At 45.3% G+C, this 17,612-nt stretch overlaps 1 pseudogene, besides 1 other annotated feature; it reads left to right on the top strand.

Moving 5' to 3' along the window:
• Window positions 1,103-1,432: an enhancer, noted in NCBI's record as "active region_691". NCBI's record gives its function as "activates an Ori minimal core promoter by ATAC-STARR-seq in GM12878 lymphoblastoid cells {active_cell/tissue: GM12878}" and the evidence as "EXISTENCE:reporter gene assay evidence [ECO:0000049][PMID:35858748]".
• Window positions 6,775-8,836, top strand: LRRC37A12P (leucine rich repeat containing 37 member A12, pseudogene; annotated as a pseudogene).

Below are 17,612 nucleotides of genomic sequence, written 5' to 3'. Positions count from 1 at the left end.
GGAGAAGGGGTTGGGGGTTTCTTGCCCCCCAGAAAGGCAGAGAAGGGGTAGAGACATGGAGAGAAGGGGTTGGGGTACTTGCCCCTCCCCCAGAAAAGCGGGACTTGCAGCTAAGGGTGAAGGACCAAGGCAGGCATCCCTCCGTGGTCTGACACCTCTGAAACCTGGGTGAATAATCAGAGAGCATCCCTGCAATGATTATACACCAAGGGAAGGCTGCCTTACCTAGTCTGTGACCGGCACCGGAGTTTTAGGTCCACGGATAAAACATGTCTCCTTTGTCTCTACCAGAAAATGAAAGGAATTGAAATTAAGAGAAGGGAGAGATTGAAGTGTGGCGCCAAGTTTGAAAGGAGAAAGAGGTTGAGGGATAGTGAGGGAGGTTGGAGAAGAGAGTAAAAAGAGGCTGCTTACCGGATTTGAAATTGGTGAGATGTTTCTTGGGCTGGTTGGTCTGAGGACTTGAGGTCGTAAGTGGACCTTTCTCACGGAGCAAAGAGCAGGAGGACAGTCGATTGATCTCCCAAGGGAGGTCCCCCAATCCAAGTCACGGCACCAAATTTCATGTGCGTCCGTGTGAAGAGAATACCAAACAAGCTTTGTGTGAGCAACATGGCTGTTTATTTCACCTGGGTGCAGGTGGGCTGAGTCCGAAAAGAGAGTCAGTGAAGGGAGATAAGGGTGGGGCCGTTTTATAGGATTTGGGTAGACAAAGGAAAATTACAGTCAAAGGGGGTTTGTTCTCTGGCGGGCAGGAGTGGGGGTCGCAAGGTGCTCAGTGGGGGAGTTTTTGAGCCAGGATGAGCCAGGAAAAGGACTTTCACAAGGTAATGTCATCACTTAAGGCAAGGACTGGCCATTTTCACTTCTTTTGTGGTGGAATATCACCAGTTAAGGCAAGGAACCAGCCATCTGGATATGTACGTGCAGGTCACAGGGGATATGATGGCTTAGCTTGGGCTCAGAGGCCTGACACTGACTTCTTCCATGCTCTGAGTTTTGTTCTATTTAGGCCCTCAACAAATTAGATTATGCCTACCCACACTGCGGAAGGCAAGCTGCTTGACTGAGTCCAGAGATTCAAATGCTAATCTCATCTGGAAATACCCTTAAAGACACACCCAGAAATAATGTCTAACCAGATGTCTGGGAATCCCCTGATCCAGTCAAGTTGACACATAAAATTAACATCACACATGATATATCCCGAATAGGCAAATCCATAGAGACAGAAAGATGATTAGCAGTTAACAAGGCATGGGGGAGGGGGAAATGAGCAATAATTACTTAATGGGGATGGGATGTTTTTCTAGAGTAGTAAAAAATGTTGAAATGGGCCAGGCACAGTGGCTCACGCCTGTAATGCCAGCCCTTAGGGGGACTGAGGAGGGCAGATCACCTGAGGTCAAGAGTTTGAGATCAGCCTGAATAACATGGTAAAACCCCATCTCTACTGGGCACCTGTAAAAATTAGCTGGGCATGGTGGCAGGTACCTGTAATCCCCATTACCTGGGAGGCCAAGGCAGGAGAATTGCTTGAACCTGGGAAGTGGATGTTGGAGTAAGCTGAGATTTCACCACTGCACTCCAGCCTGGGTGACAGAGCAAGACTCTGTCTCAAAAAAAAAAAAAAAAAAAAAAGTTGAAACTAAGGAGAGTTGCTGGTGTACAACATTGTGAATACACTAAATGCCACTGAATTGTACACTTTAAAATAGTTAATTGTATGTTGCATGACTTTGACTTCAATTTTTAAAAAAAGCCTAGAAAACTCTTTCTCTGCTGCTGTGTAGTGACGCAGAGGCAGAGGCTTGTGTGCATTCAAGATTTGGCTTCACCTGTAACCCACCACCACGGCCGAGGAAGGCATTGCTGCAGGAGTTGTGGACATCAATACTGCTTTACAAGAGGCTCTGAAAATTGCCCTCAGCCACAATGTTCTGGCACTTGGAATTTGTTTATTTATTTATTTTATTTTATTTTTATTTATTTAGACAGGGTCTTACTGTGTTGCCCAGGCTGGAGTGCAGTGGCCCAATCATGGCTCAGTGCAGCCTGGACCTCCTGGGCTCAAGCGATTCTCCTACTTCAGCCTCCCCAGTAGCTGGGGCTTCAGGTGTGTACCACCACATCTAGCTAATTTTTATATTTCTTGTAGAGACAAGGTTTTGCCATGTTGCCCAGGCTTGTCTTGTAGTCCTGAGCTCAAGCAATCTACCCACCTCAGCCTCTCAAAGTCCTGGGATTACAGATGTGAGCCACTGTGCCCAGCCAAGACTAGGTTAGATTTCTTAGTGAGAATTGTCTACTGAGAGTAGAGATGCAATGAGAGAGTTGTCTACTGAGAGTTGTCTACTGAGCCCTAAGAAAGTGTTCCCAGCCGGGTGTGGTGGTTCATGCCTGTAATCCCAGCACTTTGGGAGGCCAAGGTGGGTGGATCACCTGAGGTCAGGAGATCGAGACCATCCTGGCTAACACAGTGAAACCCCGTCTCTACTAAAAATACAAAAAATTAGTAGGGTGTGGTGGCAGGCACCTATAGTCCCAGCTACTTGGGAGGCTGAGGCAGGAGAATGGCATGAACCTGGGAGGCAGAGCTTGCAGTGAGCTGAGATGGTGCCACTGCACTCCAGCCTGGGCAACAGAGAAAGACTCCATCTCAAAAATAAAAAATAAAAGAAAGAAAGAAAGAAAGTGTTCCCTTCTCCTTTGCCTGTAGAATTTGCTGAAGAATTTGATCCTCCTTTAATTGGGAAAATTATCCTAATTGCTGGAGAAAACAGGTCTCTTTTTCCCCCTTAGCCAGAACTAAAGTCCACACCTAGCATGTCCTAGGGGTTGAAAAGTAGACAAATATAGGGCAGAATAGGTCTTCCCAAATAAAAAAATTACAGGAATTTACTACTTTATTTAATGAGAGGGCAGGGGACTATTTATGGAGGTGGATTTGGAAGGTTCTCAACTAAGGCAAATCTGAATATAATTTTAGATCAAAATGAATTTATCGATTCGAGTGTACTTACTGGCCGATTCTGCATCCGATGCTCTCCCACTGACAGCTGCCAACCATTATTGTAGAAATTCGAAGTGTTAGTTTATGCAAACCTGGATATGATTCTGGCCCATCATTAATTTGTACAACAGTGGAAGTCTCTTGACATAAATTAGAGGAAGAAATTTAAAGACCTCAGGAGGCAAGAATGATTTACTGAATCTATATATGTATCTTGCTGAGCAACCCAATAATTATATTCCTTGAAAAGGCACAGAATTCACCTTCATTACCAAAGCTAGAGGACAATTGATGAAGGAAGTGCCAAAATCATTAAAAAGCACTTTCCTGACCATCCTCTCTAAGCCCAGAATAGTTGTGGTTGGGTTCACCATTGAAATGGCTCTGACCTCAAGGAGGATGAGAGGATTCTGGGTTGTTAGAGGCCATGTGGTGACAGTGAAGCAGCTACATCATCTGGTGTATATATGCTGGGGTTCATTGTTGTGTGCCAGGAAAATTTAGGACACGGACACACACAAGTTTAGGAGTGCAGGTTTAATAGGTAGAAGAGAAGAGAAAGAGAAACAGCTTCCTCCATGGAGGAAGGTGTCTCCAAGCGGAAAGGACCGAGTGGAAAAGGACTGGCTGTCGGTGAATGCACTGAGTTTTATAGTCCAGTTTGAGGAGGTGGTGTCTGATTTATGTAGTGCTTAATTGGTTCAATAAGGTATGACATTTACATAGTATACAGGGAAGACTGGTTGCCTCATCTTAATCTTACTATGCAAATGGGCTTTCCAGTTGATTGGCACCATCATGTCTGCTCCTTTACAATACACGTGGCTGGCAGAGAAGGGAAGATGGAGCTGCCATCTTAAACATGTCTAGTCCTTAGTTCTTTCCTGCCAGCATTCACCCATGCAAGCTCCCAGCTTGCAGGCTGCTCTTTGTTAGAAAATGATTTGGAGGGCCGGGCACAGTGGCTTATACCTATAATCCCAGCACTTTGGGAGGCTGAGGCCAGCAGATCACTTGAGGTCAGGAGTTCGAGACCAGCCTGGCCAACATGGTGAAACCCCGACTCTACTAAAATTACAAAAATTAGCCGGGCGTGGTGGCACACACCTGTAGTCCCAGCTACTCAGGAGGCTGAGGAATGAGAATCACTTGAAGCTGGGAGGCAGAGGTTGCAGTGAGCTGAGATTGCACCACTGCACTCTAGCCTGGGCCACAGAGCAAGACTCTGTCTCAAAAAAAAAAAAAAAAAAAAAAAAAAAGAAAGAAAGTGATTTAATGATTTGGGGCTGCTTTTCATTAAAAAGAAAAGCCTTACCGAGGACTCCCATACCCTTACTATCTGCCTAAGTAATTTCTTCTTAACTCCTGTATCATTCCCCGCTCTGGAGTGGTAACCCTAACTGCTGTTAGGGAGTGTTGGGCAATGACTCTTTCTGGCTACTTCCTTCTGAAAAGGGGCGTTGTGTGGGGAACAGCAGCTAGGACTCCTCCTGAGGTCTATCTAAGGGTCCTTGGAAGAAAGGCGTGCTCATGCATAGTTCAGTCTGCAGCAGCATTTGGAGTTTGATTGCTTCTAGGCAAGAGGAAACAATTTGAGTTATAATATTGAGCAGACAAGGTCACATGAGCAAGAGAGGGCTTAATAATGGAGCTAACCAGTTCCACAAAGAAGACTGGAATTCATTAAAGAGGGATTGTAGCCATCCAGGGCTGGAACCTGCATTTTCTCTTGACCTGTCAATGATTTTTACTTGATCTTTAAGCATCTGTAAGTTTTCTTCTACTTGACTAAAGGTGTTTATCCAGAAGCAGCATGTTTCATTTAAGACTGCACAGGTACCCCACCTTTGCTGTAAGGACATCGAGGGCCAGTCGATGGCTAAAGAGTCTATGGATTGTTGTGCTTCCACAGCTCCTAATGTTGCCTTCCATCCTCGTTGCATCATAATGGAAACATTAAATGCTGACCTTTCAAGGAGAGGAATACCAGCAAACCGGAAGAGGCCTCTGGTTATGGAATTCCCCATCCATGGTCCTTCTAAGATGAGATTGTCATGTGTGTGCCCTCCCAATCTTCTCTTTCAGTTAAACCTCTACATGAGGGCATGGAAATGATAGGTCTCTTTGCTCAGCGTATTCAAGATAGTGCACTTTTTTTTTGAGAATTACAATAGGTACCTTTTATTGAAAGCTCACTGTTTGCAAAGCAGTGTACATTCATTATCAAATTAAATCATCAAAAAACCCTAAAAAGTAGGTGTCAGTATCACCTGCACTTTGTGATTGTGCCAGACAATGAGTAATAAAATAGGTAAGAATGGCTGTGGGTGAAGCCAGCTGAGTTCTCGTTATAGTCGCATTTCAGGAAATTATTTAACATGCTGACTTTAACAACCTAAGCGTCTTCTCCATGTGTGCACATAGGGTAGACCTCTGAGAGTGGCGCTGTAGCTTCTAGGGTAAAGGCTGTGTTAAGTCAAGGCAGGATGACATTTTGGCCTCCTCCCAGGCTAGTGCAAAGGGCTGTTCACTCGCATTAAGGCCTTCTCTCTCAGACTGAATTGCCCACACCCCAAAACCTGTCCTACAGAAAATTTGCAGTCCTCGCTTGTTGCCTGGCAGCCCGTACCTAATAGGGCGGTGAATTAATTATCAAACATGCAACAAAGGGTATCGAAAGTTTAGCGAAAATGGCAACATTTTGGAATAAATGACCATAATGTGTGTTCTGCCTGCCACCCTAACTGGCGCAGATTTTGCAGGTCAGTTGTTTTCCCTGGAAGCCGTATTGGCCAAGAGGAGGAAGATTATCTCTCGGATTTCAGCTTGGAGGAGAAAGAATTCAGGCTGCCAGAACTGGACTAGCACCTCTGAATATCCCGAGGTGAGGTCCCGTGACTTCCTTGGGAAGCTCTGCCGCGCCTGCACCCCACCCCACCCAACCCTACACCACCACCACCACCACCACCACCACCACCACCACAATAGGCTGCTGGAGTCTTGGGACCACCAAGGTCTGCTGCCCAAATCCTTCCTCGCTTAGGGGAGGGGAGGAGTGTTCCTGCGGGGCGGGGCGAGAAGGGAGGCTTGGGCAGGATTGTGGGATGAGATCGCCCTGGTGACGCGGAGCGGATCTAGACCTCACCTAATAAAATTTGCTTATAAAGGAGGGGGCGGTGCCCACGGTTGCTAGGGGCGCTAGCGTCTTGGGGCTGCCAGAATGGCTCCAGCTCTGTGCGCGGCGCCAGCGCATGTCACGTCCCGGCTGTGCCTCTGGCTCCCACGACCCCCTCCTCACGTAGCAACTATTGTGGCTACTCGTCCAGGCGGCTCAGCCTCTGGAGTGGGTCCAGGACCCGCTGCAGCTGATCTCCGATGCCCTGTGGCCGATGAGCCCTTGTTTTCCCGCTCCTCTGATCTCCCACCCGAATCGCCCCCATGCGCTTACCCTCCCCCCACCACGCAGACCCGGGGCCTTTGAATACCTGGGGTCCTCTGCTTCCTCCCAGATGTCAGCTCTGCCTCAGGAATCGACTGAGACTTTCACCAAGACTTTGGTTCCATTCCTGGACACGGATACAGCTGGAGAGCTGCCCCCGTGGCCAGAGCAGTTCGTTGCTGCACACCAGGATCTGAATGACAAGCTGACTCGGCAAGAAAGGCTCCCAGAGGTGGTCCCAATGCTGGACTGGGATCAGAACCAGGCCCTAGCTCGGACTCTTTGCCTCAAAAGTAAGGTTAAAACTGCAAATCTAGATCAGGCTGCAGATCATCAGGCATATGAAATACTTGTTCTACCTCTGGATAGAATTCACAAGCAACGAAGCTTATTGTTTGGCCCAAGAACCTGAAGAAAGGTCTAGCTTAGCATCGGAGGCTTGCTAAGGTTGTGGCTGGAACTCCACACCGATTTGTATAAAAACCTCAGCGTCAGAAACAAACTTTGCAGGATATTTAGATGGAAGTATGGATATACTGTATCCAGGCACCCTGTCCCCAGAACTCCAGGTGAACTCAGACGAGCCTCCAGGGCCCCCTGAGCAAGTTGGACTTTTTCAATTTCACCTAGAGCCCGAAACTCAAAATCCAGAGACCTTGAAGAGATCCAGTCCTCTTCACTCCAGCAAGAAGCCCCAGAGCAGCTTCCACAGCTCCCTGGGGAGGTAGAACCTTCTTCAACCCAGCAGGAGGCCCCAGCTCTGCCTTCACAGTCCCTTGAGAGGGTCTATTCTACTTCAACAGAGCAGGAGGCCCCAGCATAGCAGCTACCTGCCTCCGAAGAGATTGTAGCTCAGCCATCAATACATCATGAGGTAAATGTTCTATTTAGAAGTTGGAGTGAAGCAGCTAGGCGCGATGGCTCCTGCCCGTAATCCCAGCATGGGAGGCTGAGGTGGGCAGATCACAAGGTCAGGAGTTCGAGACCAACCTGGCCAAGAGACCAGCCTGGCCAGTATGGTGAAACCCCATCTCTACTAAAAATACAAAATTAGCCAGGCGTGGCGGCAGGCGCCTGTAATCCCAGCTACTTAGGAGTCTGAGGCAGGAGAATTGCTTGAACCCGGGAGGCAGAGGTTGCAGTGAGCTGAGATCACGCCACTGCACTCCAGCCTGGGCAACAGAGCAAGACTCCGTCTCAAAAAGAAAAAAAAAAAAGTTGGAGTGAAGCTCAGCACTCACACTTGCCCAGTGTCACAGTCAAACCTGTGGATGTGGAGCTTACAGTAACTCCAGAGCCAGGTAAGGAACTTACGTCAAGCCAGGAACAGGCCGCAGCTCAGCCTCCAGAGCACCCTGAGGAGGTGGACTCTTCCTCAACCCAATTAGAGGACCCAGCTCAGACACCAGAGCACCCTGAGGAGACGAAACCTTCTGCAACCCACCAAGGGACCCCAGCTGAGCCTCCAGGTCCTCCTGTGGAGGCTGAACTTTCCCCCAGTGAGCAGGAGAAGCCAGCTCAGCATTCTGAATTTCCTGGGGAGGTGAACTTTCTCAGACCCAGCAGGAGGCCCCAGCTCAGCCTCCAGAGTCCTCTGTGGAGAGTGCAGCTCAAACTCCACCGAATCATGAGGTGACACTTCACCCTCTTGGTGAGGATCAAGCTCATTATAACTTGCCCACTGTTACAGTTAAACCTGTGGATGCAGAGCTTATTATAACCTCAGAGCCTACCAAGGAGACTGAATCTTCTCCAGCCCAGCAGCAGGCCCCAACCCAGTCTCCAGAGGAGGTAGAACCTTCTGCAACCCAAAAGGAGGCCCCAGCTGAGCCTCCAGGTCCTCCTGTGGAGCCTGAACCTTCTCCAGAGAGCAGGAGCAGCCAGCTCAGCCTTCTGAGTCTTCTGGAGAGGTTGAACCTTCTCCCGCCCAGGAGGAGATCCCAGCTCAGCCTCCAAACATCATGAATTAACAGTTTTACCTCAAGCTCAGCATTCAGATTTGCCCAGTGTCACTGTTAAGTCTCCAGATATGCAGCTCACCATAGCAACGTAGCCTACTGAAGAGGTGGAAACTTCTCTAATCCACCAGGAGGCTACAGCTCAGCTCTCAGGGCCAATTAATGATGCAGAACCTTCCGCCACCCAGCATGGGGGCCCATCTCTGCCTCCAGAGTCATCAGAAGAGGCTGGACCTTTACCAGTTAAACGGTAGACTTCAATCTCCAGAAACTATTAAGGATGAGAAACCCTTTCCAACCCAGCAGGAGGCTGCAGCTGAGCATCCACAGATCCCTGAGGAGGTTGAGTCTTCTCCAACCCATCAAGAAGCCCCATCCCAGCCTTCAGAGCCCCCTAATGAAGTTGTAGCTCAATGTCCAGAGCATCATGAGGTGATAGTTTCTCCTCTAAGTCATGATCAAGTTCAGCCTCCAACATTGCAAATGTCACTGTTAAACCTGCGGATCACATGGTTTCCATGACTCCAGAGTTCACTAATCAGGTTGAAATTTTAACACAACAGGGGGTCCCAGCTCAGTCCTTAATGTCCCCTGAGCAGTTTCAACATTTGAAAGACCAGCAAGAGATTATAATTTAGCAGCTAAATACCCCTGAAAATGATGAACTTCCTCCAGTCCATCAAAAGCCCACAACTCAGCCTCCAGCTCAGCTCTCCTCAGACTTTAAGTTCATTGAATGATGAGATGGTATTTTCAACTCTAGATCTGTCTTCAATATTCAGAAGTAATTCAACTTTGACTAATGCTAGGGTCACCCCGACCAGACTGTTCTCTTTCCTTCCCACAGGCCTTACAATACAGTCCCTTGCGCTCTCCACACAGCCACCTCAGGGCAAAAGACAAACCCCCTTTCACTGACCCCTCCAGTAACTGTTTGTCCAGAAGATTTCAGCTAAACTGGCAAACAGTTACAGGACGCGGTTAACATGTCTGCTAACCTTGCTTAACAAAGCTGGCAAAAACATCTCCAGGAAGCAGGCAGAACACCTGCTCCCAACTCAGTTCACATACCCCGACCCAGTTCCTTGCCCTGTAAAGCCCTGTTGCAGCCTGTAAGCAGGGCTGTCTCCTCTGCTAGTCAAGGAGCAGCCCAGCAGGACAATAAAAACTTGCCCGCCTGACTTTGGGTCTCCTTGTCCTTTTCCTCGGCTGACCTCACAACTAATACCACAGTTAAAAATGTGGATATGGAGCTTACCATACCTATAGCAGTCACTATCGAGGTTGAACCTTCTCCATTCCAGCAGGACAACCCTCCAATTCCCACTGAGCAGGCTGACTTTTCTCTAACCCAGCCTTATACCCCTTCCCCACCTCTGGATTCTCTTGAACGGATTGAATCTCCAGCCCAGCAAGAGGCCACAGCTCAGACTCCAGATCCCCCTAAGGAAGTAGAACCTTCTCCAGTCCTGCAAGAGTTCCCAGCTGAGCCACCAGAGCCCCCTAAGGAGGTTGAACCATCTACAAGCCAGCAGGAAGCCTCAGGTGGTCCTCCAAAGTCCACTGAAGAGGTCAGTCCTCTACTGCAATGGGAGATACCAGCTCAGCCATCAGAGCCACCTGAGAAGGTTGAACCATCTCCAGTCCTACAGAAGGCCCCAACTCAGGTTTTAGAGACACATTCAAAGTAATTAACTGGCTGGGCACAGTGGCTCATGACAGTAATCCCAGTATGTTGGGAGGCCAAGGCAGGTAGATCACCTGAGGTCAGGAGTTCAAGACTAGCCTGGCCAACATGGTGAAACCCCATCTCTACTAATACTACAAAAATTAGCCAGGTGTAGATGTGGGCACCTGTAATCCTAGCTACTCGGGAGGCTGAGGCAGGTGAATTGCTGGAACCTGGGAGGCAGAGGTTGCAGTGAGCCGAGATCGTGCCACTGCACTCCAGCCTGGGCAGCAGAGTGAGACTCTGTCTCAAAAAACAAACAAACAAACAAAACGAAGTAACTAACTGGCATTTCTGTTCAAGAGATTGGACAGATAGGAAGTTAAACTTCCTAGAGATGCCTCATCATTTGTGCCAGTGACCCCACATTATTTCTTGATTAATTGTGCAAACTGGGAAGCTGATAGCTAGTTTTTCCAATTTAAGAGTCATCATGAGGATATTTTCAATTGTTGTAATGGGATTTGTGTTGTTCCAATGTCTAGATATTTTAATCCTGGCAATTTTTTTTTTTTTTCTGAGATGGAGTTATGCTCTTGTTGCCCAGGCTGGAGTGCAATGGCGCAATCTCGGCTCACCGCAACCTCTGCCTCCCAGGTTCAAGCGATTCTCCTGCCTCAGCCTCCCGAGTAGCTGGGATTACAGGCATGCATCACCATGCCCAGCTAATTTTGTATTTTTAGTAGAGATGGGGTTTCTCCATGTTGGTCAGGCTGGTCTCGAACTCCTGACCTCAGGTGATCTGCCCGCCTCGGCCTCCCAAAGTGCTGGGATTACAAGCGTGAGCCACTGCGCCCGGCAATGCCGGCAATTTAAACAGATACGAATCTTCAACATTGTCAGAGGATTGCAATTGAGAATTGTTAGTGGTGAAGTTTTGAAAAGCTCTTCTTGCTGTCTCTCCTGCTGCTCCCTTGTATAGTGTCAATGCTGGAAGTTTCTGAGAGCAGTCTGCAGGTGCTGAACATCATACTTTAACCGGTCAACCTGAAGTTTGGCATTCTGCCTTTTGTTAGGGGGCTCCTTGCTAGACAAAATCTCCAGATGTTCTAGACCCCTGAATATCTGGTCTGTGCTTGCTTGGATTTCATTTTCTACTAAGTGTGAAAACTGCTTGTCTGCCATCTCCAGGCATCCCATGTGAGACTGGATCTCATGGACCTGCTTGTGGGTTTACTGGTACGGGGGCTCCATATCACCAGTCCAGCTTGACCTGGCTGCAGCTCTGGCTTCCAAGATAGTGCACTTTCTAAAAAGGACCTAGGTTAGGGATGTCCCCAGATGATGTGGGGCAAGAGATTGGACAGATAGGAAGTTAAACTTCCCAGAGATGCCTCATCATTTGTGCCAGTGACCCCACATTATTTCTTGATTAGTTGTGCAAACTGGGAAGCTGATAGCCAGTTTTTCCAATTCAAGAGTCATCATGAGGATATTCTCATGTCAGTGCAATTCCATGTCAGTGCAATTTAAAAATAGTAGGTTGGGGACCATTGCTACTATAGTGCAGTTTCCTTAGCGTTATTGAACTGAGCAAATTGCTCAGGACAGACCCAAGAATTAGTCTTTTTGTACAAATGGGCCATGGCTGATATTGTAGGAGCTAAAGGGTGTGATGTATCACTAAACCCAATAAAAAGTCCTAGCAGACTCGGTGATAGTAAAACTTTCATGCTTCCTTTTTGTTGGTAACTATTATCCCTGTTATAAGGATAATAATTAAACAAAATACTACAACGATGGAAACTCTCTGTCCAATATTTCAGTTAGAAGGTGCTACTGTGTATAGCTCTACTGCAGTTAGTAGAATGACTATAGCAATTTCTGCAAAGGTGATGTACTAGATTATTTCCATCTAAAATTTTACTTACCAACATACAGAATTTCACTTTGGGGGTCTATGAAGTTCCTTGGTTTTATTTTCCCAAACAAAGAAACCTCTGGGTTATGGGACCCTACTCACTTTCATTACCTGGCAGAATTTGCAGGATAATTGCCCAGAACCAGCGTATTGATCCAAATATTCACATTACCCATCCCTTTCTGCTTCTTCCAAGCTGCAGAAGATCACCACTTGATCCACAGGAATAAGCAGGGTTAGTCTAAAACATAGGCAAAAAGCTTAAAAACAATTAGACTAGGATTTAATGACAAATATGTGATAAGCTTGGGAGCATAATTTCTCTCTCTAGTCCTCATTTTTGGTAAAAACAAATTATCATAGGACTGTGTTATTCATAGAATAAACTTTAGTTTTATACTTGGCCTGGTTATTTGCATAAAGTGCAGCAAGAATAGTTATTTCAACATAAGCCTTTTGGACTGGTTTTGATGGAACTCTGTTCCACAAGGAATCTCAGATAAGACCTTTTAAAGCTGAGCCCAGCCATGGGTTTGTATCCTCAAATACCTGTGAGTTGGGTGATCCTCTTCTCATAAGGTCCCAAGATAAACTTGGAGCTCCTGGACCTGTTAGAAAGTGACATTCTTTACTGACCACAGGTTAAGAACCCTGTGTGGGAACTGTGCAGACAAGGTATGAGGCCTTGTTCTCCCCATGGGGCTTTTATCAGCTCAGCAAGTCAAGATTGACTCCTTAAAGGAAAGCATACCCTTCCAGTCAAAGCCTTGGTAAAATAACCAGGTTTTCCAATTGTGTCCTGTTGCAAAAGAAAAATGGATTCTTATCGCACCGATGCAAACAACTATATTGTCATAAGTTAAGAATACGTGCAGATAGTTTCCAAATTCTAGAGGAACCAGGCAGACAGAAACATGCTCCAAATTTTGTTCACAAGAGTATGCCTTACTCAATTATATAAGGCCATAAGTCGTTCAAAATACATTTCCTTGACTCTGAAAAACCAAACAAGGATCAGCAATATTTCAAGCAAAAGTCAAAAAGGTTGCTTTAACTTTCTGAGTGCAGTCCATTTAGTTAGCTCTTGTTTTGCTTGATATTCGTGAACATTTCAGTTATTCATGAGTCCCATACATTCTTTCTCTATTACAATGTTACAATCTTCAAAGCTATTAAAAACCTGCCTTTGAGAACACCTGTTAAAGTCTTATAGCTTGATTATAACCCATCTTTTGAGAAGGAACAAAGCAAGACAAAAATTATCTGTGAATGACAAAATTTCCAGGGTAGTTACAGTTAAAAACATGACTGACAAAGAAGTTTAGTTATATTTGTGGTTTACAATAACTTAACATAACAACCTTAATTACGATTGATAGCATATACTCATACATTAGAATTTTAGAAATCTCATATGATTTTGGAACATGTATTAGTATAATTCACCAAAATATAACTTAAAGAAGATTGGACATTGGCTGGGCATGGTGGCTCAGGCCTGTAACCCCAGCACTTTGGGAGGCCAAGGTGGGCAGATAACCTGAGGTTGGGAGTTCGAGACCAGCCTGACCAACGTGGAGAAACCTCGTCTCTATTAAAAATACAAAAAATTAGCCAGGTGCAGTGGCACATGCCTGTAATCTCAGCTACTCGGGAGGCTGAGGGTAGGAGAAAGGCTTGAACCCGGGAGGCGGAGGTTGCAGTGAGCTGAGATCGTGCCGTTGCACTCCAGCCTGGGCAACAAAAGCAAAACTCCATCTCAAAAAAAAAAAAAAAAAAAAAACCGCCAGGCGCAGGGGCTCATGCCTGTAATCCCAGCACTTTGGGAGGCCAAGGTGGGTAGATCACGAGGTCAGGAGATCGAGACCATCCTGGCTAACACGGTGAAACCCTGTCTCTACTAAAAATACAAAAAATTAGCCAGGTATGGTGGCGGGCACCTGTAGTCCCAGCTACTCGGGAGGCTGAGGCAGCAGAATGGTGTGAACCCGGGAGGCAGAGCTTGCAGTGAGCAGAGATTGCACCACTGCACTCCAGCCTGGGTGACAGAGTGAGACACCATCTCAAAAAAAGAAAAAAAAAAAAAGAAGCTTAGACATCATTTTGGCAATCTCATGTGACTAAACATGTCAAATAATCCTGTTTACCTCTTCTCTGGATTATTCAGGGGAACTGTGAACCATCCAGAAAGCCAGGCATCAGGAAAGACAATTTTGAAACTTGAAGTTTGATTTTGGGATGCCTGTTAAATGTTAGAGGTTTAAAACACTTGATGTTATGAAATAGAATTCTAGAATGCCATAAATTATTTATTTTGCCAAAATGATGACTCAGAAGGCAAAAACCATTCATTAGCCTTTACTATTACATAAAAATTCTGCTTAAAGACAAATTTTAACCTTGCATTAGTTTGTTAATGTTAACCCCAATGTGTTTAAATGAAACCTTATAGACAATTCTATCTATTGACCATGAGGTGGTCAATTTGACCACAAGGTGAAATCTTTACAAACCCTTTATAACCCCTTTTGCTAAAGGGCAGATTAGTGTCTTAAGACAACCTTGCTGTGCTTTTATTTCAATGTTCAATTTATGAAAAAACCATATAATATCCTTTTGAATTCAGTTAATTTTTATACATTTTTTGCAAGATTACTTTTTACAATCTTTCTATAACTTGCTTAAACCTCTAGCTCTCTTATCAAATTTAACATAATCCCTCATACCAGGGCAAAATTTACATTTCCATGCTTTCTTATAATCTTTACTAAAAAACACATTTTACTGTTTTTATACACCTTGCATGTAAAACTGTTTAGTGATCTCAAATACATGCTGCACTGTTAACTCTTAGCAACTTTTACTTTTGGTGAAAAACCTGGTAAGTAAGCAATTTTAATTATGTACCAAGTGTGGAGCCTAGGACCCAGACAGAAGTGCAGATAAGGTCTGACTCTTTCCAGCATCTAACTCCACATGTCCCAGGCCTTACCCATCTGCAAAGCAGGCAGTATACAACCTTGGAACATTTAGCAAACCTAGTATCTAAGTTGTATGTATTAGACCACCTATTTGCATTTTACCAATAATCCTTATGACTAATTTCTTAAAGACTAAAGTCACGTGAACTAAAAAATATTTGATTTAAGCCCTTATTTTTCTTTCAGCCAATCAATTAGAGCTCTTTTTATAGACATTACACACAAAACATATATAGCGACACAGACACAAGATTCAGCACTTGTTAGATTTTTTATTTGCCGGTTTCTTAATTAAATTATTGGTTTCAGGGTGGAGCCCTTGGAGGAACAGGGCCAGGAAGGCATGCATTTCTAGGGCATAATAAGCAGGCACGGCTGAAGGCAAAGACAGATCCTCAAAATTAAGGGTGTCATTTGATATTGGATCCCCCAAATAGGAGAGATACTATGGGAGAAGACAGTGCAGTGCTTCTACTGTGCATTTCATTGCAAAGCAACCCAAAGCCAATCAACTTATTTTGTAATTAGCCCATCTCCCATGGGAGTCTCATCTCTCGTTGTGGGGATAGGGGGAATGTTTCTGTATCTTTCAGGTGACCAAGAGCATGCTTCTCTGATTTATAACTACTATTAGCCATCCCTTAAAGTGTATTTGCTACCTAGTTATTACACACCAAACCTCTCTCCTAATGTAATTTGATACTCCCAAAATTCAAAACTGTCAGATAACATAATGCAAAACATAATGCAAAAATAAAGCCTTTGATTTTGAGAGAGAAATATCTGCTTCTAGTTCCTGGGGTTTCATGGGGAAAACGAGGTTTTTCTCCCAAAACAGGGTCTGTGGTGCCTCCTCTGGTTTTCCCAAGGAATCCCATGCTACCAGAAGTTATCTTAGAGCCTCTCATTGTGCATTACGAGTGGCAAGATAAAAAATGTAGACTAATAATTCAGTCAACTGAGAAGGAAAAAACCTTTTTCCAGAAAAACAAGATCCAAAAAGAGAAAAACATAAAGGCCATTAAAATATACCTATAACTTGAATATCCACTTTTAATTAACCTGAGTACTCTTTAACAAAATCCTTTTAAATCCCTTGTAACTTGACATTAGCCACCTCAAGCAGTTAAGATTTTTGGCTTTTGAAATTTACAAAAAGTAACCTCACAGGTGAAATCGACAAGCCTTAATTAGGTTATGACTTAACCATGAGTGCATGTGTACAAGGTATTTTTAAAGGGGTGATAGGCGGTTTTTGAAACTGTCATTTCAAAATTGTGACCACGATAGTGAAAGAGATCCAACCCAACCAACTCCATTTTGTTTCCAGCCCCCAAGCTTTCCTTGCTTATCCCTGGGCGTAGACCAAACCAACTTTGGGAGGAGCCTGGTTTAGAGTTTATAGTCTAAAATAAAGATGATGACAGCCCCTTCTTAAGATTTACTTCCTTCTTGCCTGGGTACCAGACCAGGAAACTAGCCACAAGATTAAAAACCATGGCCTAGAAGTCACACAGCTGGAGCCTACAAGATTTTGACTCTCCCTAAACTGCTCTCAAGATCGGTGCTGGCTGGGTGCGGTGGCTCACACCTGTAATCCTGGCACTTTGGGAGGCTGAGGCGGGCAGATCATGAGGTCAGGAGATCAAGACCATCCTGGCTAACATGGTGAAACCCCATCTCTACTAAAAATACAAACAAAAAAAAAAATTAACCGGGCGTGGTGGCAGGCGCCTGTAGTCCCAGCTACTCAGGAGGCTGAGGTAGGAGAATGGCGTGAACCCGGGAGGTAGAGCTTGCAGTGAGCCGAGATGGCGCCACTGCACTCCAGCCTGGGTGACAGAGCGAGACTCCACCTTAAAAAAAAAAAAAAAAAAGATCAGTGCTGAAGACATTTTTAAACCCTCCCCTGGATGGATCAGCTGGCACCATCCAGGTTGACAAACTGGCTTATCTGATTTTGTGGCCCTCACTCAGGAACTGATTTAGCATAAGAAGACAGCCATCATGTAAAATGGTGGCAACTAAAACAAAGTACTGCCATGTGGTTATGGGTCATGATCCCAAGGACATGAAACAAGATAGAGACCTGTAGCCAAGTTTATTACTGACCATTCTGTTGGGCTGCCTTGAACAGCAGGCTTATGAGGTCCACGGTCTGTATCCGAACCTAAGGTACCCTTTCTCTTAACAGAACCATATGGAAAGACACACAAAGCACATCAGAATGGCTACAGCTTAAGACCAACCTCACGATTTTTTTTGATTAATTAAAACTTTACAGAGAATATAAACAATGAACCTTATTATCCCTTTCGCTGGTTTGCATAGGGAGAGAAAAGCCAAAAGCTTGACTGTTAGAAAAAACTTCTACCCTTTTGCCAGCGTGTCAGGCTTCTGGGTTCCCTTCCCCTAGCTCAACTCTAAGCCAAGCATTTTAAGGTTTGGAGAAACTAACTTTTCCCAGTTTGGAAGAACATTATGAAAGAGCCATTTTAAACTGTGAAAGTAGGCCAGGTACAGTGGCTCATGCCTGTAATCCCAGTACTTTGGCGGGTCGAGGTGGGCAGATCACCTGAGGTCAGGAGTTTGAGACCAGCCTGGCCAACATGGTGAAACCCCATCTCTACT

The sequence above is a fragment of the Homo sapiens genome, chromosome 1, assembly GCF_000001405.40.
Source record: "Homo sapiens chromosome 1, GRCh38.p14 Primary Assembly".
Taxonomy (NCBI): Eukaryota; Metazoa; Chordata; class Mammalia; order Primates; family Hominidae; genus Homo; species Homo sapiens.
Note: the sequence above shows the minus strand (reverse complement) of the source record. Positions and strands in the feature narration are given on the sequence as shown.